Source organism: Homo sapiens, chromosome 16, assembly GCF_000001405.40.
Source record: "Homo sapiens chromosome 16, GRCh38.p14 Primary Assembly".
Lineage (NCBI taxonomy): Eukaryota > Metazoa > Chordata > Mammalia > Primates > Hominidae > Homo > Homo sapiens.
In genome coordinates this window covers 4,170,092-4,192,972 of record NC_000016.10, presented here as the reverse complement: position 1 = coordinate 4,192,972, position 22,881 = coordinate 4,170,092, and the positions used below count along the sequence as shown (strand labels likewise).

Sequence of the window (22,881 nt, the reverse complement as noted above, 5' to 3'; positions counted from 1 at the left end):
TCCCAAAGGCTACCCCTTCAACGACGTGTGCCAGTGGTTCATCGACAGAGCTGACCTCATCTTTGTCGTCTTTGACCCAACAAAGCTGGATGTGGGTCTAGAGCTGGAGATGCTCTTCCGCCAGTTGAAGGGGCGTGAATCCCAGATAAGGATCATCCTGAACAAGGCTGACAATCTGGCCACCCAAATGCTCATGCGGGTTTACGGGGCCCTCTTCTGGAGCTTGGCCCCTCTCATCAATGTCACAGAGCCCCCAAGGGTTTACGTCAGCTCCTTCTGGCCACAAGAGTATAAGCCGGACACCCATCAGGAACTGTTCCTCCAAGAAGAGATCTCCCTCCTAGAAGACCTGAATCAGGTGATCGAGAACAGACTGGAGAACAAGATTGCCTTCATCCGCCAGCACGCCATCCGGGTCCGCATCCACGCCCTCCTGGTTGACCGCTACCTGCAGACTTACAAGGACAAAATGACCTTCTTCAGTGATGGAGAACTGGTCTTTAAGGACATTGTGGAAGATCCCGATAAATTCTACATCTTCAAGACCATCCTGGCAAAGACCAATGTCAGCAAATTTGACCTTCCCAACCGCGAGGCCTATAAGGACTTCTTCGGCATCAATCCCATTTCCAGTTTCAAACTGCTCTCCCAGCAGTGCTCCTACATGGGAGGTTGCTTTCTGGAGAAGATTGAGCGGGCCATCACTCAGGAGCTTCCGGGCCTCCTGGGTAGCCTCGGGCTCGGGAAGAATCCAGGTGCTCTCAACTGTGACAAAACAGGGTGTAGCGAAACACCAAAAAATCGCTACAGGAAGCACTAGGTGGTGGAGCGGTCCTTGGGTTCCTGTTGGTGAATCAGCTTGTGTCCTAACTGTCTGAGAGGTCCTGGTTTATTAACCCTTTGAGCCACACTGGCAGGAATTATTACACAGTGGAGAGTTGGGAGTTCATTGAGGCCAGGGGTCGGGGCAGGTGTGTGGGTCTAGGGAGGAGAGTGGAAACTGTGAATTCCTGTGTGCTTGTCTTGTTGCTTCAATGAGGAGGCCTGATTGAGGCAAGTCAGCCTCCACCTGCTTTTCCTGGGTCCTGTCTTGGAAGGACAGAGAGCAGCTAAATTCTAGTGTATCTTAAATCAGTGAGGGTCAAATAAGCTAAAAGCAGCTGAAATTCCTTTGTTCCCTGTGAGCTGGGAAAACAGCGAAGGCCTGAGTCGTAGAGATTGTCAGGTCCATTTTGGCTTCTTTCCACACCCACAGTCTCGCGTTTGTTCCCCAGCCCTCGGCTGCCTCTTAACTTTGGGTTGACTTTCAACAGTGAATAGTCTCTTGGGTCTGAATATACCTGGGTTTGTTTTTGTGTTTTTGAGACGGAGTCTCGCTCTGTCGGCCAGGTTGGAGTGCAGTGGTGCAATCTCAGCTCACTGCAACCTCCCCCTCCTGGGTTCAAGCGATTCTCCTGCCTCAGCCTCCTGAGTAGCTGAGATTATAGGCCTACCACCATGCCCAGCCAATTTTTGTATTTTTAGTAGAAACGGGACTTCACCATGTTGCCCAGGCTGGCCTCGAACTCCTGACCTCAAGTGATCCACCCGCCTCGGCCTCCCAAAGTGCTGGGATTACAGGCATGAGCTGCCGCACCCGGCCTCCACCTGGGTTTTGAGCCAATCCCCCGGACTTGCTCCTGGTTTCCTCAAGGGGTGGGGCAGTGGTTTAGGACACTCGACAACTAAGAACAGGAGTTCCCAGGAAGGACAAGGATCTGCCTCCCCCACTGCCACTTCTCTGATGTGTTCCTCAAAGCTGGCTCGAGGGCTCGATCCCTTCATCGGACCCAGGAGGGGACTGGTTGGTGTATCCAGGTAATTTACTCTTGGAAGTGACTGTAGTGAAGGTCGTGGAAGGGCTCAGAGGGTTAATTGGTTTGCAGTGCGTCTTTGTCTATTGCATGTCTTGGAAAACTCAGATCCCAAAGGCGCTGGGTTTCAGAGAGGACAGTGGAGACCTTGCTCCTTTTCCTTAGGCCGCCAGTCTCTCAAATTTCAGAGGAGGCTGTTTCCACAACTCCCCTGTGGAAACACTTGGCAGCGGAGTTGCTCCTTTGCAGTTTCCACACCATGGCTTTTCCTTTCCTTTCTTCTCCATTCCCTGATGCATCAACACTTACTTGGAGCAATTTCCTAGGAGTCAGAACCAGCACCAGCCACTCGGTGTCGGTGGCCACCAAGGCTTAACATTGACCTTCCCGCCTGACCTTGATGCAGATGTCCACTGAACACACCGCAGGAAAGCCAGGGCCTTCAATACCAATAAGTGTGAATATGTGTGTATGTTGTCCAAGAGAGATTAGGGAGATCACATAGACTCTAGGGAGTAGAGAACTTGTAACAGTCTTGCAAGGCTAGCATGCACGGCTCCACAGCAGGTGGTGGGGAGCAGAGGGGCAGGACCTGCAGGGAAGAAGCAGCCTTTGGATGGTGAAATGTGCATGGTGCACAGTCTGTGCATGCCCAGGAGACCCAGCCCGGGCTGCCTCGAGGGGCTCCTTTGTACACAGCCAGCCGCTTCTCTTGGGAACAAGCTGTCCTGGGGGCCTTACCCACGAGGCAGGAGTCAGGATGCACCAGCTCAGCACCAGGAAGTCATCCTGGACCCAGGACAGTGGAAAGGCAGGCAGAGGGAGAGGCACTCTGAGGTCAGGCAGGGTAAGCCAGTTGGCAGTCAGGTTAGGTCTATGAGGAGAACCTCGAGTTAGGAATTCCCGGTTCTCAGAATTGTTATCACTCTGGTGCATGCTGTCACAGGGGCCGTTGCGTTTGGCTTTGTGGAGGGCCTGGACCCTTCCACAAGAACACCCGAGGTTCCAGGGCACTCAGGACAATGTTTCCAAGGAACGAGTCGACCAGGAAAGAACAGTGAGTTCTGCAAGGGGCATCCACGGAGCCTGTGATAGGGGCTGATGAGATGGAATCTGTCCTGGACTTTTCTTCTCATTAACCACCCTCCGCAAACCCCAGAACCCCTCGCCTCATCTCTGTACTGTCTGCCCTCTTGGGGGATGGGCCCTCCCACTTTCCCCTGCCTGCTCCTCCATGCTGTGAGCTGCTTTGGCAGATCTGTTTTTCTGTGTAGTCAGGGGAAAAACAAAAAAAGATGCACAACTGTGTGGGCATTGTCATAGCTGTTGGTGTCACCACTGCTTTGGGGGAAATGGCTGGGATGAGGCTAATACATTCATGCAATATTTATATTTTCAGGGGGCTGCGTTATCAGCATGCTCTCCCTGCCTTGGGCTTTTCTTTCCGTCATGTTTTCCTTTTCGTGTTCCTTCTCTGATTTCTCTTGTCTCTGCTGCTCACAGGCCTGCCCATCAGTCAGTACAGATACTCAGTGTCTGGTTTCTGGCCAGCTCCGTGGAGGGGGCTTTAAGCAGAATTCTGACTCTTTGGGGTGGGGGATTAGGAACTGGGGGAAACTTAATGATCCAGAGATTCCCCCAAGAGGAGTGTCTGGAAGGATCTGTGCCTGGACAGTGGCAGAACCTTTCCAGTGTTCTTTTGGTTCTGATTTCATCAGTCTCAATAAAGTTCCGATCTCTCTTTAACACCGCGTGCTTTCTCATGGTCTCCAGCTAGGTTACTCTCTTCATCCTCCTTTTATCTGGTAGAGTTAACTCATGTGTAAGTTCCTTGGGGAGAGACTGGAAATTAAGAAATTGCCCACCCTTGTGTTAGCTGGATGCCCCAGGACCTTTTTTGGGACTGAGGCTGAGTTGCTCTCTCAGCCGCCCAGGAAGGCGTGGTGTCCTCTGAAACTTAAAGAACTGCTCTCTCCTCAGCACCTCAATGCCTCATTCCCCTGGGCATCCACGCAGCTGCCTTAGATAACTGAGGGCTCCAGTGGAGGAGGGCACAAAGGTTTCCTGAATGGTAAGGCTGCCACCTCCCCTTGGCTTCACCAGAAAGTGTTCTCCTCCTCCACGAAGTGTGGACGTGAGCCTCCCGCTTGGACCTGTCTTTAGAGAAACCTGAACGCGTCCTTGACTCCCTGAGCCCTTTCTATCACATTTTCCTGTTTCTAGTATCCTCTTCAGAGCAGAGGTCGTTTAATTTTTATGTTTTACTTCTGGGGTCTTCGAAGGAGTTTCACATCTTGCTTGAGAACAGGTTTTTTGTTGTTTTCTTTTCTTTTTCTTTTTTTTTTTTTTTGAGACGGAGTCTCGCTCTGTCGCCCAGGCTGGAGTGCAGTGGCGCAATCTCGGCTCACTACAAGCTCCGCCCCCTAGGTTCACGCCACTCTCCTGCCTTAGCCTTTCGAGTAGCTGGGACTACAGGCGCCCGCCACCACGCCCGGCTAATTTTTTGTATTTTTAGTAGAGACGGGGTTTCACTGCGTTAGCCAGGATGGTCTCGATCTCCTGACCTCGTGATCTGCCCATCTTGGCCTCCCAAAGTGCTGGGATTACAGGCATGAGTCACTGCACCCGGCTGGTTTTCTGTTGTTTTCGATTTTTTTTTTTTTTTTTTTCTGAGATGGAGTCTCGCATTGTTGCCCAGGCTAGAGTGCAGTGGCGCCATCTCAGCTCACTGCAACCTCCGCCTCCCGGGTTCAAGCGATTCTCCTGCCTCAGCCTCCTGAGTAGCTGGGACTACAGGCACATAACACCATGCTTGGCTCATTTTTGTATTTTTGGTAGAGATAGGGTTTCACCATGTTGGCCAGGCTGATCTTGTACTCCTCACCTCAAGTGATCCGCCTGCCTCGGCCTCCCAAAGTGCTGGGATTACAGGCTTGAGCCACCACATCTACCCATTTTTTTTTTTTGAGACGGAGTCTCGCTCTGGCACCCAGGCTGGAGTGTAGTAGCGCGATCATAGTTCATTGCAGCCTTAACCTCCTGGGCTCAAGCAATCCTCCTGCTTCAGCCTTCTGAGTAGCTGGGACTACAAGCACATGCCACCATGTCTGACTAATTGAAAAAAACATTTTTTTTTTTTTGTAGGGATGAGGTTTCATTATGTTGCCCAGGCTGGTCTCAAACTCCTGGCCTTATTCCATCCTCCTGCCTCAGCCTCCCAAAGTGTTGGGATTAGAGATGTGAGCCATCTTGCAGGTAGACAGCGGGTTTTGAAAGGGAAAAAACTGGGCCCTGGGGAGAAAGGGAGAGTCTGCAGTCCTTGGTCTTTGAGCAACTGAGCAACATGACCCAACTAAGGCCACTCCTGTTCACCCACCCAACCCTGCGTCCCTCTTCCACCCTTTCCCGGGAGAAATCCAGAGCTCTTGCCTGGAAGAAGGAGGACTGTTTTAAAGATAAATGTTAAGTAATATGCCAGAATCTGCCTCAAAATTGTACTGTTTCACAAGCCTCACCATCTTCACATTGTCTGCCATTAAGATGATAGAGAAACAGAAACAGAAAACGGAGAAAGCACAATCCGGGACCAGGATAAACATAGATAAAGTGAGGGGCATGAATGGAGTATTTTTAAGGGTAAGTGGATGTATCATCTGAATCCATGGGGGTTACACATGGTTATATGCAAAAGGTGTGTGCAAATACATATGTAAAGTCCATGAGTGTGGGGAAACAGGTGGCCAGGTACTTAGCACAGTGCCTGACACACAGGAGCTCATCACCCGTGTGCCATCAGAGTGAATAAGTGGGTTTGGGGGAGTAAAGAAGGTGTCTGTGCGGTTTTTTGAGACAGGGTCTCACTCTGTCACCCAGGCTGCACCCAGGCTGGGTGACGTGATGCAACCACAGCTCACTGCAGCCTTGAATTACTGGCCTCTAACGATCCTCCTTCCTCAGCTCAGCTTCCCAAGTAGCTGGAACTATAGGTGCACATCACCACACCCAGCTAATTAAAAAAGGTTTTTTTTTTGGCTGGGTGCGGTGGCTCATGCCTGCAATCCTAGCACTTTGGGAGGCCGAGGTGGGCAGATCACTTGAGATCATGAGTTCAAGACCAGCCTGGTCAACATGGTGAAACCCAGTCTCTACTAAAAATACAGAAATTAGCCAGGCATTGCGGAGGGTGCCTGTCATCCCAGCTACTTGGGAGGCCGAGGTAGGAGAATTGCTTGAACCCAGGAGGCAGAGGTTGCAGTGAGCTGAGATGGCACCACTACACTCCAGGCTGAGTGTTTTTTTTTTTAGAGAGATGGGATCTTGTCATCTTGCCCCGGCTAGTCTCAAACCCCTGGGCTCAAGTGATCCTCTCACCTCAGATCATTTTTCTTTAGAAGAAAGTAAAGGCAATAAAAAAGCATTAGAAAAACAAACTGGCTGGGCTAGGTGGCTCACACCTGTAATCCTAACACTTTAGGAAGCCAAGGTGGGAAGGTCATTTGAGGACAGGAGTTCAAGACTGGCCTGGGAAACATAGTGAGACCTCCTCTCTACAACAACAACAACAAAATTAGCTGGGTGTGGTGGCATGTGCCTGTAGTCCCAGCTACTCAGGTGGCTGAGGTTGGAGGATCGCTTGAGCCCAGGAGGTAGAGGCTGCAGTGAGCCATGATCCCACCACTGCACTCCAGCCTGGGAAACAGAGCAAGAACCTGTCTCCGTTAAAAAACAAAACAAATAGAAACTGAGAGTAGTGTGATGTGACATGAGGTTGTCTGTAGAATGCTGACCAGCCTGGCCAACATGACGAAACCCCGTCTCTACCAAAAATACAAAAATTAGCTGGGCGTGGTGGTGCATGCCGGTGGTCCCAGCTACTTGTAGGCTGAAGCATGAGAATCGCTTAAGCCTGGGAGGTGGAGATTGCAGTGAGCTGAGATCGCGCCACTGCATTACAGCCTGGGCGACAGAGCGAAACTCTGTCTCAAAAAAAAATATATATATATTATATATCTCTATATATATCTATATATATTTTATATTTTTTATATATAAAATATATAAAAAATTTGCTGGGCGCAGTGGCTCACGCCTGTAATCCCAGCACTTTGGGAGGCCGAGGCGGGTGGATCATGAGGTCAGGAGATTGAGACCACCCTGGCTAACACGGTGAAACCCCGTCTCTACTAAATATATATAAAAAAAAAAATTAGCCGGGTGTGGTGGCGGGTGCCTGTAGTCCCAGCTGCTTGGGAGGCTGAGGCAGGAGAATGGCGTGAACCTGGGAGGCGGAGCTTGCAGTGAGCCGAGATGGCGCCACTGCACTCCAGCCTGGGTGACAGAGTGAGACTCCGTCTCAAAAAAAAAAAAAATTATATATATACATATATATACACACACACATATATATATATATAAAGTAATTTTCATTAGAAAATTTACTGAGGATTATTTCCTGAACAAAAAAATACTTTAAAAAAATCTTAACTCCATCTCCATTTCATATTTGATCTTTACCATGATCTTGTAAAGTAGATGGGGGCAGGGATATTTCTTATTCCTAAATCCAAATCTAATGTGGGGAAACTGCATCTACAGAGGTGCAGTTTTGCCTGAGTTCGGCCTGAGTTCACTCTGCTAATGCAAGACAAACCACACCAAAAGGCCAATTTCGTACCCATCCCAATATCCTTTCTACTCTATTCCATCACATTGATTTGCGGTAATCTAGAGCTGACAGCATATTGTGCACTGTATATTTTTCAGACCCACTAAAAGATGAGATTTTGTATTGTGAAGAGTGCAAAAAGATGTTATATTTCCATTTTTTCCAAACTTCTTAATTTTTTCCCACCACGATTCCAAAAAAATTTAGATATTCTGCATATTAAGGCATAGTCTCTCCCCTGGGGGATGTAGCCATCTAGTAAGGGATACAGCGCACAATTGCAAATCAGGATACAGGGGTCTGGCAAAGGACTGTCTTTCTCATTTGCAAATGTAATTATTTGCAAAGCCTGATCAATGCATATAAGTTGATAAATTATGTAATGGATTACTTCTGTTGAGAAGAATCAATTGACACAACCTCAGGGCTCTTCAGAGAATACTGAGACACACTGTGGGGCTATGGAGTTTGGTTGGGGAAGGAGTGGAGTTTTAGCTACACTTTGAGGGATGGGCAGGTTTGGTGGGTCACAGATTAGGGGGGTGGAGCACGGGAAGATCGAGGGCGCCCAGACGCAGACAAGGGAAGACCGCTGTGTGTGGCGGGGATAAGGGAATGGAAGAGCAGCCAAGGTGAGAGGAGGTGAATTAGGGAATACTGGGCCTTCAGGGGAAGCCCAGGGAGTCTAGGCCTGAGGCCACTGCAGGTTTCTGAGAAGGGAAGACCAGCGGGCAGCGGTGCTAGGGCGATATGGGGAGGCCGGAGCGTGGCATGCAGGAGCCAAGGGCCTGCCCCTGGGTCTGCTGCGTTGGGGGGAGCGTGGGGTCTCTGTCCTCCCCCGATGCTGCCCCACTCCAATCCGATGCCAGCGCCCCACAAGGCGGCCGCGAGCAGAAGCCCATCCACCCCATCGGCCTGGCCGCCCGGGGGACCCCGCCCGCCCTGGGCGGGCGCCAATGTGTCCCTTTTCTGGATCCTTTGGGAATCAATTAAGATCGCGGTGACAGGGCCCCCAGGTCGTAGGAGCACCCGGGCCACCACTCCCCGCGCGGCGTGGACGGGCTTCCAGCATCCGTGCGGGGACAGGGCTGGAGGCTTCGGTGATCGCGGCCGGGTACGACCACTCTTCCTTCGTCTGAGGGAAAAGGTCGCGGCTGGGGAGGGCCTCAGATTTCCCCGGCACGCCTCCTCTCCTTAGTGGGGAAACTGAGGCCCGGGGCAGGGCAGTTCTGGACCAGGGTCGTGACCGTGGGGAAAGTGGGCACCTGGCTGAATCTGACCCCGTCCTTCGCGCCCGAATCCTCACACGCTGTCCCCGAGGGGGCCACTACCCGACCCTGCGGACAGGGACCGATCTCGCGGCCGCTCAGCTGTGACAGTGCCGGCCGGCTCGCCCCGCGCATGCGCACTGCCTTCCCTTCGGGCTCGGCCCCGCCCCCTCCGGGCTGCGCGCCTCGGACCGAGTCCGGGACTGGGGTCAGCGCAGGCGCAGACGCAGACGCTTAGCGGCGGCGCTTCCAGAACGCTGCGCTCGGGAGAGCCTCGGGGCCGGAGTCGCGTGGGCGCTGGGGGCGGGGCGGGCGCCCACTGCCTGAGCCGGATGGCAGAGCCGTCTCTCCGCCAGCTCCCAGCGCTGGCTCGCGTCCCTGGGTTCCGAGCCCAGCGACGCGCAAGCTCCGTGGCCGCCAGCGCCGGCCCTGCCCCCTCGCTGCTGACCTCCGCCGCTTCACGCCGCGGACTCAGCTCCCGGGCTTTGCGGTCGCTGCCGGTGGGATGGGGAGGGCCGCGAACCTCTGTCCTCTCAGGCATTCACCGCGTGGCTGGGAGGGCGCCAGGAGGCCGAGGCCGGGGCTGCCATGCGCTCCCGGTGCCTCACCCCGCAGGTCGGTCCGCCTCGTGGGCTGTGGGGCAGACGACCGGGAAGCCCCGAGATCTCCAGATCCTCGATCGGGACCGAAAAGGCCCTGAACTTGTGCAGTGACTTGCCATTGAGTCCGGGAGGTTCTGGAGACCTGGGTGACGGAAGAACGCCCAAGGCCGACTGCTGCCCTCAGTTATCGGGGTGAGGTTTCCACCTGAGGCCGGCGCCCAGGGCAAACAGGAAATGCGAGTTTTAGGAGATTCTCCTACCGGAATGTCACCTCCCTTCCCCGCCAGAAACGAACCGCCCTCTCCGCCAGTAATTGAAAACCGAAGGGCAGCCCTTAGCGAATGAAAACTCCAGAAACCAGGAGGGTCAGGGAGGGTCATCATCTGAATAGAATGACTCTTGTGGCTCTTGGGGTTTCCTGAATCAGTCATTTTAGGAACTGAAAAGGCCTTACGAGGATCAAGTGGTCATTAGCTTCTCTTTCTTCCCTCCCTCCCTCCCTCCCTTCCTTCCTCCTTCCTTCCTTCCTTCCTTCCTTCCTTCCTTCCTTCCTTCCTACCTTCTTCCTCTCTTTTCTACTCTTTTTTCTTTTTGAGACTGCAACCTCGAACTCCCTGGGCTTGGGTGATCCTCCCGCCTCAGCCTCCCGAGTACTTGGAATTACAGGCGCGCGCCACCATGCCCGGCTAATTTAGGTTTTTACTTTTTTATCTTTTTTGAGACGGAGCCTCGCTCTGTCGCCCGGGCTGGAGTGCAGTAGCCTGATCTCAGCTCACTGCAATCTCAAAACTCCCAGGCTCGAGCGATCCTCCTGCCGCAGCCTTCCCAGTAGCTGGGACTACAGGTGTGCATCATTACACCTGGCTAATTTTTTATTTGAAAGAATTTTTGCTAACGCCGTGCGCGGTGGCTCAAGCCTGTAATCTCAGCGCTTTGAGACGCTGAGGCGGGCGGATCACAAAGTCAGGAGTTCCAGACCAGCCTGGGCAATATGGTGAAACCCTCTACTAAAAATACAAAAATTAGCCGGCGTGGTGGCGGGCGCCTGTAGTCCCAGCTACTCGGGAGGCTGAGGCAGGAGGATTGCTTGAAGCTGGGAGGCAGAGGTTGCAGTGAGCCGAGATCAAGCCACTGCACTCCAGCCTGCCTGACAAGGCCAGACTCTGTCTTAAACACAAAAACGAACAAAAAAAAGTTTACCGGGCGCTGTGGCTTACGCCTGTAATCCCAGTACTTAGGGAGGCGAAGGCAGGTGGATCACTTGAGATTGGGAGTTCGAGACCAGTCTGACCAACATGGTAAAACCCGTCTACTAAAAATACAAAATTAGCCGGGTGTGGAGGCACAGGCCTGTGATTCCAGCTACTCAGGAGGCTGAGGCAGGAGGATCGCTTGAACCCAGGAGGTGGAGGTTGCAGTGAGCCCAGATCGTGCTACTACACTCCAGCTTGGGCAACAAGAGTGAAACTCCGTCTCAAAAATAAAATAAAATAAATTGGGCTTCTCGCTCTGTCGCCAGGCTGGTCTCAAACGTCTTATCTCAAGCGATTCTCCCGCTGCAGCCTCTGTGCTGGGATTACAGGTAGGAGCAACCGCACCCTGCCTGGCCTCTCTTTGAAACCTGCCCAGTGACAGGGATCTCAATGCAGGGCATTGCATGTCTTCTGACAGGATGCTGGTTTAGGTCACTCCCTCTGCCCTGCAAGCCAGCTGTGTCCCCAGCATTTCCCAGGGCAGAGATAGATCACTCCCTGTGAGAGTGTTTTGGTGTCAGTGTGGAACGGCTTCCCTGTTTGGCCCCCTGGGTATACTGGAACCTGGGAAGGGACCTCTCCAGCTAACCCAGGGCTGGGCAGGGAGTTACTGAAAGGAAAAAGGAATTTATTTTTAATTTCCTGGGTTTTCTTGGCTGTTGCTTTGGAGTGGAGATCATTTAGACATCTGGTACCCTGATGGCCTGAGAAGAGAAGGAAAGTCCTTGGAAAGGAGTTAGGTGACTTCTGGGTAAGAATGAGCTGATACAATGGTGGAGAGTGGGGAGAGCTGCTTAGTGGCCAACCTGGCCATCATTGCCGTATTCACTAGGGAGCTTTTATTCTCATCTGTGTCCTCCTCCTGTAACTTAACACCTAGAAGTGGCAGGGAATTGGATCATGAAAGAGCCATATAGTCCAGCCTACTCATTTGTGTGTGTGTATGTGTGTCTATATATATGTCTATATATATATAGGTCTATATATATAGGTCTATATATATATAGGTCTATATTGGTCTATATATATAGGTCTATATTGGTCTATATATAGGTATATATATGTCTATATGCATATAGGTCTATATATATGTCTATATATATAGGTCTATATATGTCTATATATATAGGTCTTATATATGTCTATATATAGGTCTTATATATGTCTATATATAGGTCTTATATATGTCTATATATAGTCTGTATGTCTATATATAGGTCTATATATATAGTCTGTGTCTATATGTATAGGTCTATATATATAGTCTATGTATAGGCCTATATATATGTCTATATATATAGTCTATATATATAGGTCTATATATATGTCTATATATAGTCTATATAGGTCTATATATATGTCTATATATGTCTATATATATCTATATATGTCTATATATCTTTATATACACTATATATGTGTCTATATATCTATATAGATACTATATATGTCTATTATATATCTATATATATAGATATATATATTTTTTTTTAGAGACAGGGTCTCACGATGTTGTCCAGACTTAAACTCCTGGCCTCAAGCAATACCCCTGTCTCCGCCTCCCAAAGGGCTGGGATTACAAGCATGAGGCCCTGTGTCCGGACCCAACCCACTCATTTTAAAATTGAGGAAGTTTGAGGCCTGGAAATGGAAAAATGTGGCCCAGGGTCACGGAGGGAGCTGGTGGCAAAGATGAGACTTAAATTCAGGTCTCCCGATTCCCAGGCCTGCCCTTGTTCTCTACACTCTTTGTATTAGTCAGGATCCAGCAGAAAACAGATTAAATTGGGGACATTTAAAGTGGGGGCTTTGAGGCAGGATATAGGGAAACTGCTATGGAATGTGGAATATTCTGGGGCTGGTGACAGTGGGATCTTACCACCTCTGCACCTGGAGGCAGGTTGTGTGGAGGGCGATCTCACTAGAGCTGGGACTTTAAGTCAAGGAGCTCAAAAAGGGACTTGGAGGAATAAAAACCATAAACCCTGTCCCCACCTTCTCCCTCTGGTTTTGATTCCAGGCTCCACATGGACCAAACCCAGCTGGCAGTCAGAGGGCAAGAGCATCTCGATGCAGCGCATACAGGCCAATTCCAGGGTGCAGTGCAGCATGGAAAAGGAGAAATGTACCTGAAGAGGCAAATGAAAGATATACAGCGTCACAGGCAATCTTGCTTCTACTACCATAAAAATAGTTTACGTTTCTTAGACACTTAGTCTGTGTCAGGCATGTCCATTATCTCATTGCATCTTCCCATAAACCCGGTTTCCTCCATTGGACAGATAAAGAAACTGACTAGTGAAACAGCTTGAGGGACGGAGGTATGAACAGCTAAGCTGTCATTTTCCCGTCCAGAGTCTTATCTGGTGTATAGTAGTTCCCCTGTGAATGTTTGTGGAATGAATGAATGAATGAGGAGCAGACATAAATAGGGTTAGATAGTAAACCTCCCTGAGGAGCCTTAGCGGGGCCTCTTCTCCTTGGGACTCGGAGGGTCTCTGCAGAGATGAGCCCTGTGCCTTTTGCTGTGTCTCCTGTTGGCCTGTAATAGGCCAGCTTCTTCAGGTGAAAAGGGCAGGCATGAAAGTCTGAAAAAAGCCTTGGACTTGTGCTTGGCTTTCCTAGTGGAGGTTAGCTTTTGGAATTTAAAAAAGAGTATGGGCTGGGCACAGTGGCTCACACCTGTAATCCCGAGGTGGGCGGATCACTTAAGGTCGGGAGTTTGAGACCAGCCTGGCCAACATGGCAAAACCCCGTCTCTACTAAAAATACAAAAATTAGGGCATGGTAGCGGGCGCCTGTAATCCCAGCTACTTGGGAGGCTGAGGCAGGAGAATTGCTTGAGCCCGGGAGGCACAGGTTGCAGTGTGCCAAGATTGTGCCACTGCACTCCTGCCTGGACAACAGAGTGAGACTCTGTCTCAAAACAAACAAACAAACAAACAAACAAAAGTCTCTCTGAAGCCCTCTTTACCCACACCTTTATTCCTAATACCCCACAGTCTGGGCAGGGGCCCAGGGTGCTACCTCTCTCCCTGCTCAACTCCTCCCCACGGCTCCACCCACGAGCTCAGTTCTGCTGATTGCATCACTGGTGCTGCTGTTGGAACACAGCATTCAGGGATGAGCCAACAACCAGTTTGGTGGGTGAGTTTCACCAGCACCCTGCAAGTGGCCTGCTGTGGAGCAGAAACCTCTGCTGGAAAGCGCCGAGCCATTTCTTCCATGCCTTCCTCTTGCTTTACTGCCGTGTCCCCTTTTTACTGGCCTCTTCTTTCCTGGAGGGTCCCATGAAGTCTTTCAGTTGTTGTTCATAATCTAAGCCCCTCAAGCATGGAAAAGGAACCTGATATGTATTGATCACATGCTATGTGCCTGACATGCTGTGCCAGATGCTTCATATCTAGATTTCATTTAATTTCATAGCAATTTATTAGGTAAAAAAGTCAGAGAGCTCACAGCTGAGAAAACTAAGGCTGGTTAGGGAACATGTGGAATATTACACAGCTGTTAAGAGGAGAGCTGGCATTTGAACTCTGGTCTAATCCCAAAGTCCATTCTAACACCCTTCACACTCAGAATAAACCCTGTGCCTGGGCAACAGTGAGACCCCCATCTCTACAAAAAATTAAAAACAGATTAGCAGGGCGTGGCCGGGTGCAGTGGTTGAGGCTGCAGTGAGCCGTGATCAGGCCACTGCGCTCCAGCCTGGGCGACATAGCAAGACCCCGTCTTGAAAAAAAAAAAAGAAAGAATAAACCCTGCTGCTGCAGTATTTGGGTTTATCTTATACCTTTGCAAGTCAGAGCCTTTTCCTTGTGCCGTTACTTGTATCCCCGGGGCTCGAGTGTGTGGAAGGTGCTGTTTCAGCTCACCCTTGTGGGTTTCCACGTGGAGTGCCTAACATTTCATTCCATCCATCGTCTGTCATTCCATCCATCTATTCCTTTGCTGCTGATGGCTCCTCCATCTGGGAGGCCGTTTCACCGGTTTCTGAATGGCAACATCCAAGCCCAGTTCCAGTGCCACCTCCCCCATTGTGTCCCTTGGATCTCATTTGCCTCCAGATTCCCAAACTTACCTTTGTTACCCTTCCCTGAAGGATTTCTTACGTTACTCCTTGTGTTACAGTAATTTGGGCATGTGATTTATTTTCTTTGTTGTGGGGGACAGGGATTATTCTGCAATAGTACTTGAATCTTTCCAGGACCTTAAACTAGCAAGCCGCCAGTGAATGCACGCATCAGGGGAGCCCTTTATGGGGAAAAGGGTTTGTATAGTGAAGATATCTTCCTCTACTTTACATGTTAACTTTGCTTAAAAACAATATTCAGCTGTATGATAAATGTCCTGGTTGAGTCTAGCGTGATGGTAGGGCACTCCTAGGGAGAAATTCCTTGTGTTTTCCTTGAGAGTTTCAAATTTGTGTTTTTGGGTTTTTTTTTGTTTTGTTTTTTTTTTTTTGAGACAGGGTCTCACTCTGTCACCCAGGCTGGAGTGCAGTGGCATGATCTTGGCTCACTGCAACTTCCACCTCCCAGGCTCAAGCGATTCTCCTGCCTCAGCCTCCTGAGTAGCTGGGACTACAGGCACACGCCACCATGCCCAGCTACTTTTTGTATTTTTAGTGGAAACAGGGTTTCACCATGTTGGCCAGGCTGCTCTCGAACTCCTGACCTCAGGTAATCCACCCGTCTTGGCCTCCCAGACTGCTGGGATTGGAGGCATAAGCCACTGTGTCTGGCAAGAGAGCTTTGAATTTGGGGAAGTGAAGAGACACTAATGAGGGCAGGCAGTGGGGAACAGGCTGCTTAGGTAAAAGGCCCCCCAGACCCTACATATTCGACTCTCCAGATGGGGCCCAGCAGAGTGGTGAGCTGTGTCCCTAGACTTTTATCACATGCTGCAGCTTTTCTGAGGCCATCACTTGTGCTCCCAAGTCCCTTTATGTTTGTTCTGATAGACGAAGGCCATCACTCCTCCTGCTTTCACCACTGGGGATGAGGGAAACCTTGGCCATAGTGGCAGTCCTCCCTCCCTGGGACCCCAGTCAGTTCAGAGCACCTATTTCCCATAACACCCAACACAGACAGATGCTAGGGCCCTTCCGCAGAGAACGGGTGTGGGCTGGGATGACTCACCTGCTCTGTGGCCGCCTACAGTGCAGCTCAAAGCCCTTGGGAATCAAAACACTTCCCTAGGACAAGCACAGAGGCTCTCCTTAGAGACAGCAGTTTGGGTTCCTGCTTCTGCAAATGCCTGTCACCGTACTGATGTTTCAAAGTCCAGGTCAGTGAGGAGCCATCCAGCTGAATGGCCATGGAGAACAGGCAGAATCAGCAGCTTCAGAAAGCAGTGCCCTGATCTGGGTATCAGATGACCCAGGTCTCACCTGGGCTCTTCCAGGAGCTCACTGTGTGTTTATAAAGGAAGAGTATTCAATTTTTTTTTTTTTTGAGATGGAGTTTCGTTCTTGTTGCCCAGGCTGGAATGCAATTGCACGATCTTGGCTCACTGCAACATGCACCCTCCGGGTTCAAGCAATTGTCTTGCCTCAGCCACCTGAGTAGCTGGGATTACAGGTGCATGCCACCACGCCTAGCTAATTTTTATATTTTTAGTAGACGGGGTTTCACCATGTTGGCCAGGCTGGTCTCAAACTCCTGACCTCAGGTGATCCACCTGCCTCGACCTCCCAAAGTGCTGGGATTACAGGTGTGAGCTACCACGCCTAGTCTAAGAGCATTCATTCTTTAAGTAAACTTTTTTTTTTTTTTTTTTTTTTTTTGAGACAGAGTCTTGTTTTGTTACCCAGGCTAGAGTGAAGTGATGCCATCATGGGCTCAAGCGATCCTCCCACCTCAGCCTCTTCAAGAAGCTGGGACTACAGTCCCATTACACCTGGCTAATTAAAAAAAAAAAAAAATTTTTTTTTAGAGGTGGGGTCTCACCATCTTGCCCAGGCTGGTCTCCAACTCCTGGGCTCAAGCGATCCTCCTGCCTCGGCCAACCAAAGTGCTTGGATTACAGGAATGAGCCACCGCACAAGGCTTAAACTTTTTTTTTTTTGGACCGCTGACTTCTGCTGTGCTAACTAAGGACAGAAAGGGTTATGAGAAGTCAAAATCTGTCCCTCACCATGATGGTCTCTCAGTCTCTGCAAATGAATACAAGTCAGGGTAATGAATGCAATACTGCACTAAGGTGGTTTGAAGTATGGAAGAGAAACTAATATCCTAGGGGAAGTGAGTGAGTCAGGTTAGATTTAATTGAAAAGATGACATTTGAGCTAGCCCTTGAAACTGGAATTCCTTTGGCAGACTGGAGTAAGTCTGTTGCATCTTTGGGGAATATTGTCAGAGGAATGTAGAGAAGGGTGAGGGTGAAGAGAGACAAGATTTGAAGGTCCGTGTGGTCTCAGGAGTCAAGGGCCTTGGTAGAACATGTGAACTTCGGACCTTATCCTGAGGGCAGCAAGACATGATCAGCTCTGTGTTGTAGAAAGATCACTGTGGCTGCAACGTGGAGGATGAATTAAAAGGGTCAAAGAGGAAGAGAGAGACACCGGTTAGAAGAAGATTAGACTATTACAGGAAGGAAAGTTTGAGGACCTCCACTACGGTATTACAGAAGAGAGCTGGACTGGATAATACCTAAAATCAAAGTTTTATGCTCCTGAACCCACCAGTGCTTGGCGCTTTTCTTTTTTTTTTTTTTCTTTCTTTCTTTCTTTCTTTTTTTTTTTTTTTTGTGATGGGGTCTCGCGCTGTTGCCCAGGGCTGAGTGCAATGGCGCCATCTTGGCTCACTGCAACCTCTGGCCTCCTGGGTTCAAGCGGTTCTCCTGCCTCAGCCTCCCAGGTAGCTGGGATTACAGGCACACGCCACCATGCCCAGCTCATTTTTTTTGTATCTTTTTTTTTTTTGAGACAGAGTCTCCCTGTTAGCCAGGCTGGAGTGCAGCAGCGTGATCTCGGCTCACTGCAACCTCCGCCTCTCGGGTTCAAGCGATTCTCCTGCCTCAGCCTCCCGAGTAGTTGGGACTACAGGCATGTGCCAACATGCCTGGCTAATTTTTTGTATCTTTAGTAGAGACAGGGTTTCACCACGTTGGCTAGGCTGGTCTCAAACTCCTGACCTCGTGATCCACCCATCTCGGCCTCCCAAAGTGCTGGGAGTACAGGCATGAGCCACCAGGCCAGGCTGCTTTGGCGCTTTTTATACCTGCCTCCTCCCCACCCTACTCCTAGCTGATTGTCCTAATTGGTTGTTCATGACCCATCCTTGGGGGATGGTGACCTGTTTGGGTTTTGAACCAATCCGATTTCCCTGTTTATCTGTTCTGTTCATCCCTGAAGTCTTACTTCAGATGAGTCTCAGCTCACTGGAGACCAACTAGGAGGAAGCTGTTATCTGTCTCAGAGTCCTTCCCACCCCCACCTCCAGCCCCCTCTCTCCTCTGGCATTGGATTTGAGGTCTCCAGATTGGCACTGGCATCTATGCCATCCTTCCCGTTACTCTTTTTAGGAGGAAAGATGAGACACCATGTCTCAATGGGAGATATTGACAAGCAGGAAGTCGGAAAATGGATTAAAGACTGAGCTTGTGACCTTGGTCTAAGAGCAGAAGGTGAGATACAGGGCAGTGCCACATAGTCATCGAGCAAGTCTGAGCACCTTAAATTTAGACCATTTCTATGAAATGTAATCCAAAAACCAGAAGTATATCCCTTCTCCTAATTCCTTCACTGTTTCTATTCCTGGCCAGGGTTACACATCCTGCCTTTTCTTGCTCTACTTGCTTGTAAGACAGTCATCTTGTGATTCTTTTTTTTTTTTTTTTTTCTGAGACAGAGTCTCGCTCTGTCACCCAGGCTGGAATGCAATGGCATGATTTCGGCTCACTGCAACCTCCGCCTCTCGGGTTCAAGCGATTCTCCTGCCTCAGTCTCCAGAGTAGCTGGGATTACAGGCTCCCACCACCACGCCTGGCTAATTTTTGTATTTTTAGTAGGGACAGGGTTTCACCATGTTGGCCAGGCTAGTCTTGAACTCTTGACCTCAGGTGATCCACACCCCCCCCCCCACCCTCGGCCTCTCAAAGTGCAGGGATTACAGGCGTGAGCCACTGTGCCCTGTCCATCTTGTGATTCTTAGGCCTGTAGACTTTAGCTGTCAACAAATAGGTTGGGAGTGTCTGTGGTGTGCCTAGCCTGATAGTAGCTGTGACAGGATATATACGCCCCCTGGCTATGTTCTCAAGGAATAAGGAGACTGGTACTTTAGAGTAGTTGGGAAAGCAAAACACAAAAGCTAACTATAGAAGAGAAAATGAAAGTAGTTAAGAGGGCGGTTAGAATTTGGTGGTACACGGTGGGCACAGTGGCTCATGCCTGTAATCCTAGTACTTTCGGAGGCCAAGGTGGGTGGTTGGCTTGAGCTCAGGAGTCTGAGACCAACCTGGGCAGTACGGTGAAACCCTAGCTACAAAAAATACAAAAATTGGCTGGGCGCAGTGGCTCACGCCTGTAATCTCAGCAGTTTGGGAGGCTGAGGCAGGTGGATCACCTGAAGTCAAGAGGTCGAGACCAACCTGGCCAACATGGTGAAACCTTGTCTCTACTAAAAATACAAAAAAAAAAATTAGCTGGGCGTAATGGCATGCGCCTGTAGTCCCAGCTACTCAGGGAGGCTGAGGCAGGAGAATCACTTGAACCCAGGAGACTGAGGTTGCAGTGAACCAAGATCACGCCACTGCACTCCAGCCTGGGTGATAGAGGGAGACTCCATCTCAAAAAAAAAAAAAAAAAAATTAGCCGGGCATGGTGGCATATGCCTGTAGTCCCAGCTACCCGGGAGGTTGAGGCTACAGTGAGCCATGATCGCGCCACTGGCACTGCAGTCTGGGTGATGGAGCAAGACCCTGTTTCAAAAAAAAAAAAAAAAAAAAAAAAAAATTTGAGGCCGGGCGCGGTGGCTCATGCCTGTAATCTCAGCACTTTGGGAGGCCGAAGTGGACAGATCATGGGGTCAGGAGTTCAAGACCAGATAATGAAAACCCTGTCTCTACTAAAAATACAAAAATTAGCTGAGTATGGTGGCAAGTGCCTGTAGTCCTAGCTACTTGGGAAGCTGAGGCGGGAGAATTGCTTGAACCCGGGAGGCGGAGGTTGCATTGAGCCGAGACCACACCATTGCACTCCAGCCTGGGTGACAGAGTGAGACTCAGTTTCAGAAAAAAAAAAAGAAGAATTTGATGGTATAGGCTGTAGATACTGCAGAGCCCTAAAAAAGGGAGCAAGTGGCCAGTCGCAGTGGTTCATGCCTGTAATCCCAGCACTTTGGGAGGCCAAGGCAGGCAGATCACTTGAGGTCAGGAGTTTGAGACCAGCCTGGCCAACATGGTGAAACCCCATCCCTACTAAAAATACAAAAATTAGCCAGGTGTGGTGGTGCATACCTGTAATCTTAGCTACTCGGGAGGCTGAGGGAGGAGAATCTCTTGAACCCAGGAGGAGGAGATTGTAGTGAGCCGAGATTGTGCCACTGCACTCCAGCCTGGGCAACAGAGTGAGACTCTGTCTCAACAAAAGAGAAAAGAGAAAGGAGCAAGTGGTGTCTAGTTGTCTCTAGGTGTCTTGGGTTTCCTCAAGTTGGGGGTTGGATCCACCTAGATCTAGCCTGAGGGTCTGAGCTGGATCCCAGCTAGTGTTACTGTGAGGTTGAGGGCCAAGCAGCACTTTGTGTGGCCTTCCTGGGGAGACATCCCTGTTATCCAAATATTTATGCTCTTTTCTCAGCCTGCATCTTCCTACTCGTCAGGAGTCCCCATTCATCCTTCAAGGCCCAGCCCAAATGCCTCTTTTTTCATGAAGACACTTTCTTCTCATCAGTTAGGATTATTGCTGTCTTCTCTGTTCCTCTGCAGTCCTTTGTTTACAACTTTATTGTGACATTTATTTTATCTCATCATGTGTTTAAGAGTGTTTTCATCAGTTCCACGAGATTGTGAGCTTCTTGTTAGCAGGGACTATATCTGATTCATTTCTTAAACTCCTGATGACTAGCCTAGTGTGTTATTCTGCTCAGAAAATGGTTGCTAAATGAGTGAACAGATTCTATTCTCTCTGGTATTTGAGTTCTAAAGAATCAGTTCTAGGCCTGGCGCCATGGCTCATGCCTGTAATCTCAGTGATTTGGGAGGCTGAGGCAGGAGGTTCCCTTGAGGCCAGAAATTCGAGACCAGCCTGGGCAACAAATATAAACAATACAAAGAATAAAATAATAAAAATACAAGAAATAAAAATAAAAAATTAGCAGGGTGTTGGTCAGGCGTGGTGGCTCACGCCTGTAATCCCAGCACTTTGGGAAGCTGAGGCAGGTGGATCACGAGGTCAGGAGTTTGAGACCAGCCTGACCAACATGGTGAAACCCCATCTCTACTAAAAATACACAAATTAGCTGGGTGTGGTGGCACGTGCCTGTAATTCCAGCTACTCAGGAGGCTGAGGCAGGAGAATCGCTGGAACCCAGGAGGCGGAGATTGCAGTAAGCCAAGATCACACCACTGCACTCCAGCCTGGGCGACAGAGTGAGACTCTTGTCTCAAAAACAAAACAAAACAAAACAAACCTGGATGTGGTGGTACGTGCCTGTAGTTCTAGCTACTTAGGAGGCTGAGGTGGGAGGATCCCTTTACCCAGGAGGTTGAGGCTGCATTGAGCTATGATGGCCCCACTGCACTCCCGCTTGGGTGGGTGACAGTAAAGTAATCCTAAAACCAGAAGGGAGAAGGGCTGTTTGTAGGGCCAGTTTTTGGCAGGGGAGCACATAGTGATATTAAAAGTCATTTTAAGTAGGACTTGTGTGGACACACAAAAGAAGGGTGTCGATCTTCTTTTGGTTTTGACCCTTTAAGACTAAAGGAGCAGCAGTAGAGTATGAGTGGTGGGAAGGCCTCCCCTAGTGTATGGAAAGAGCATTGGAATCAGAATTGGGGACTAATTCTGATCCAATCTCTGGTGACATTATATTTGCTTTGTTAATCCTATGAGATTGTTCTGAGAACCAAGTGAGATAAGAAAGATGTGAGTTCTTTGAAAGCTCTCAGATCATCAGCTACTAAGGTCGGCTTGAGCTTGGCCAATCTCCATTTGAATTCCCATCTAGTCCCAAGACTAGATCCAAATGGTAAAAAGAGAAGAACACTGTGTGACTTGGGTAAATCGCTTCTAGTCTCTGAGCCTCAGTTTTCTTATTTGTAAAATGGAGATAATAATCTCTACGCCACCTAACTTGTTAGGCTACTTAGGAGGGTTAACTGAGAATTAATATGACACTGCCTTGTAAATTATAAGGGTCTGTGCAAATGCTATGGATTTATTTTTAATTAATTTATTTATTTTTAAGAAAGAGTCTTGTGCTGTTGCCCAGGCTGTAGTGCAGTGGCGTAATCTTGGCTCACTGCAACTTCCACCTCCCAGGTTCAAGAGATTCTTGTGCCTCAGCCTCTTGAGTAACTGGGATTACAGGCACCTGCCACCCCACCTGGCTAATTTTTGTATTTTTAGTAGAAACAGAGTTTCACCATGTTGCCCAGGCTGGTCTCAAAATCTCGGCCTGAAGTGATCCACCTGCCTTGGCCTCCCAAAGTGCTGGGATTACAGGCATGAGCCACTGTGCCTGGCCTAGATTTGTTTTTTAATCTGTGTTTGAGGGCTCTGGATGAAATTTGCCAAGGCTGTTGCACATCTAGACAGTGACATCATATACATGTTATTGAGGTCCAGGGTGGGGCACAGAAGACAGGCCCAGAGTCATGGGGGCAGGGAAGAACACAGAAGGGAACCCCACCCACTGTCTGCCTGGAGAAGACCTGATTCTGTTGTCACTCATTTGTCTGACTTGAGGAAATTTGGTCTCCTCGTTTCCAAACTGCCACAGACTGCAGTGACCTCTGTGATCAGGGGGTACTTTGATTAAAGCTCTACAGTAAGGGTCACTCTAGTTTTTTTCTCTGTCTCCAGGGTTGAGCTTGGTGCATGGACACAACAGATATTCAGGATAAGTTTGTTGTTGAACAAATACAAGTAATGCATTTGTGAGACCTCATTCTCACTTCCTTTGTTTTACAAAGTCAGTTGCACATCAGCCTAAAAACCCAGGACATAATTCACAGAAATGGAGCTTGAAAGCATGACTAGCCAGTATTAATCAAAGGCCAAGCGGCTGAGCGGGCGTG

General features: G+C 49.4%; 1 protein-coding gene and 1 long non-coding RNA gene across 9 annotated transcripts in view, besides 4 other annotated features; both read left to right on the top strand.

The window, feature by feature from the left end:
* SRL (sarcalumenin) overlaps positions 1-3,599 on the top strand; it is a 52,707-nt gene extending 49,108 nt beyond the window's left edge. For all 8 annotated transcript variants that reach the window (NM_001098814.2, NM_001435440.1, NM_001323668.1 and 5 more), the window contains one exon: positions 9-3,599. In NM_001098814.2, the coding sequence (NP_001092284.1) occupies positions 9-820 (812 nt within the window). In that variant the 3' untranslated portion in view covers positions 821-3,599. The remainder of the gene's footprint in view (positions 1-8) is intronic.
* Positions 8,718-8,787: a silencer, noted in NCBI's record as "silent region_7147". NCBI's record gives its function as "represses an Ori minimal core promoter by ATAC-STARR-seq in GM12878 lymphoblastoid cells {active_cell/tissue: GM12878}" and the evidence as "EXISTENCE:reporter gene assay evidence [ECO:0000049][PMID:35858748]".
* Positions 8,798-9,447: a silencer, noted in NCBI's record as "silent region_7146". NCBI's record gives its function as "represses an Ori minimal core promoter by ATAC-STARR-seq in GM12878 lymphoblastoid cells {active_cell/tissue: GM12878}" and the evidence as "EXISTENCE:reporter gene assay evidence [ECO:0000049][PMID:35858748]".
* Positions 8,851-9,145: an enhancer, noted in NCBI's record as "tiled region #7928; HepG2 Activating DNase unmatched - State 1:Tss, and K562 Activating DNase unmatched - State 1:Tss". NCBI's record gives its function as "activates a minimal TATA promoter and a strong SV40 promoter by Sharpr-MPRA in HepG2 and K562 cells {active_cell/tissue: HepG2 | K562}" and the evidence as "EXISTENCE:reporter gene assay evidence [ECO:0000049][PMID:27701403]".
* On the top strand, positions 9,015-12,856 carry LOC105371062 (uncharacterized). The gene is made up of 2 exons (NR_188654.1): positions 9,015-9,580; positions 12,662-12,856. It is a non-coding gene; the product is annotated as an uncharacterized LOC105371062 (long non-coding RNA).
* Positions 13,612-13,814: a silencer, noted in NCBI's record as "fragment chr16:4229160-4229362 (GRCh37/hg19 assembly coordinates)". NCBI's record gives its function as "represses an EF-1alpha promoter that drives an FKBP-Casp9 reporter gene in an ReSE screen in HepG2 liver carcinoma cells {active_cell/tissue: HepG2}" and the evidence as "EXISTENCE:reporter gene assay evidence [ECO:0000049][PMID:32094911]".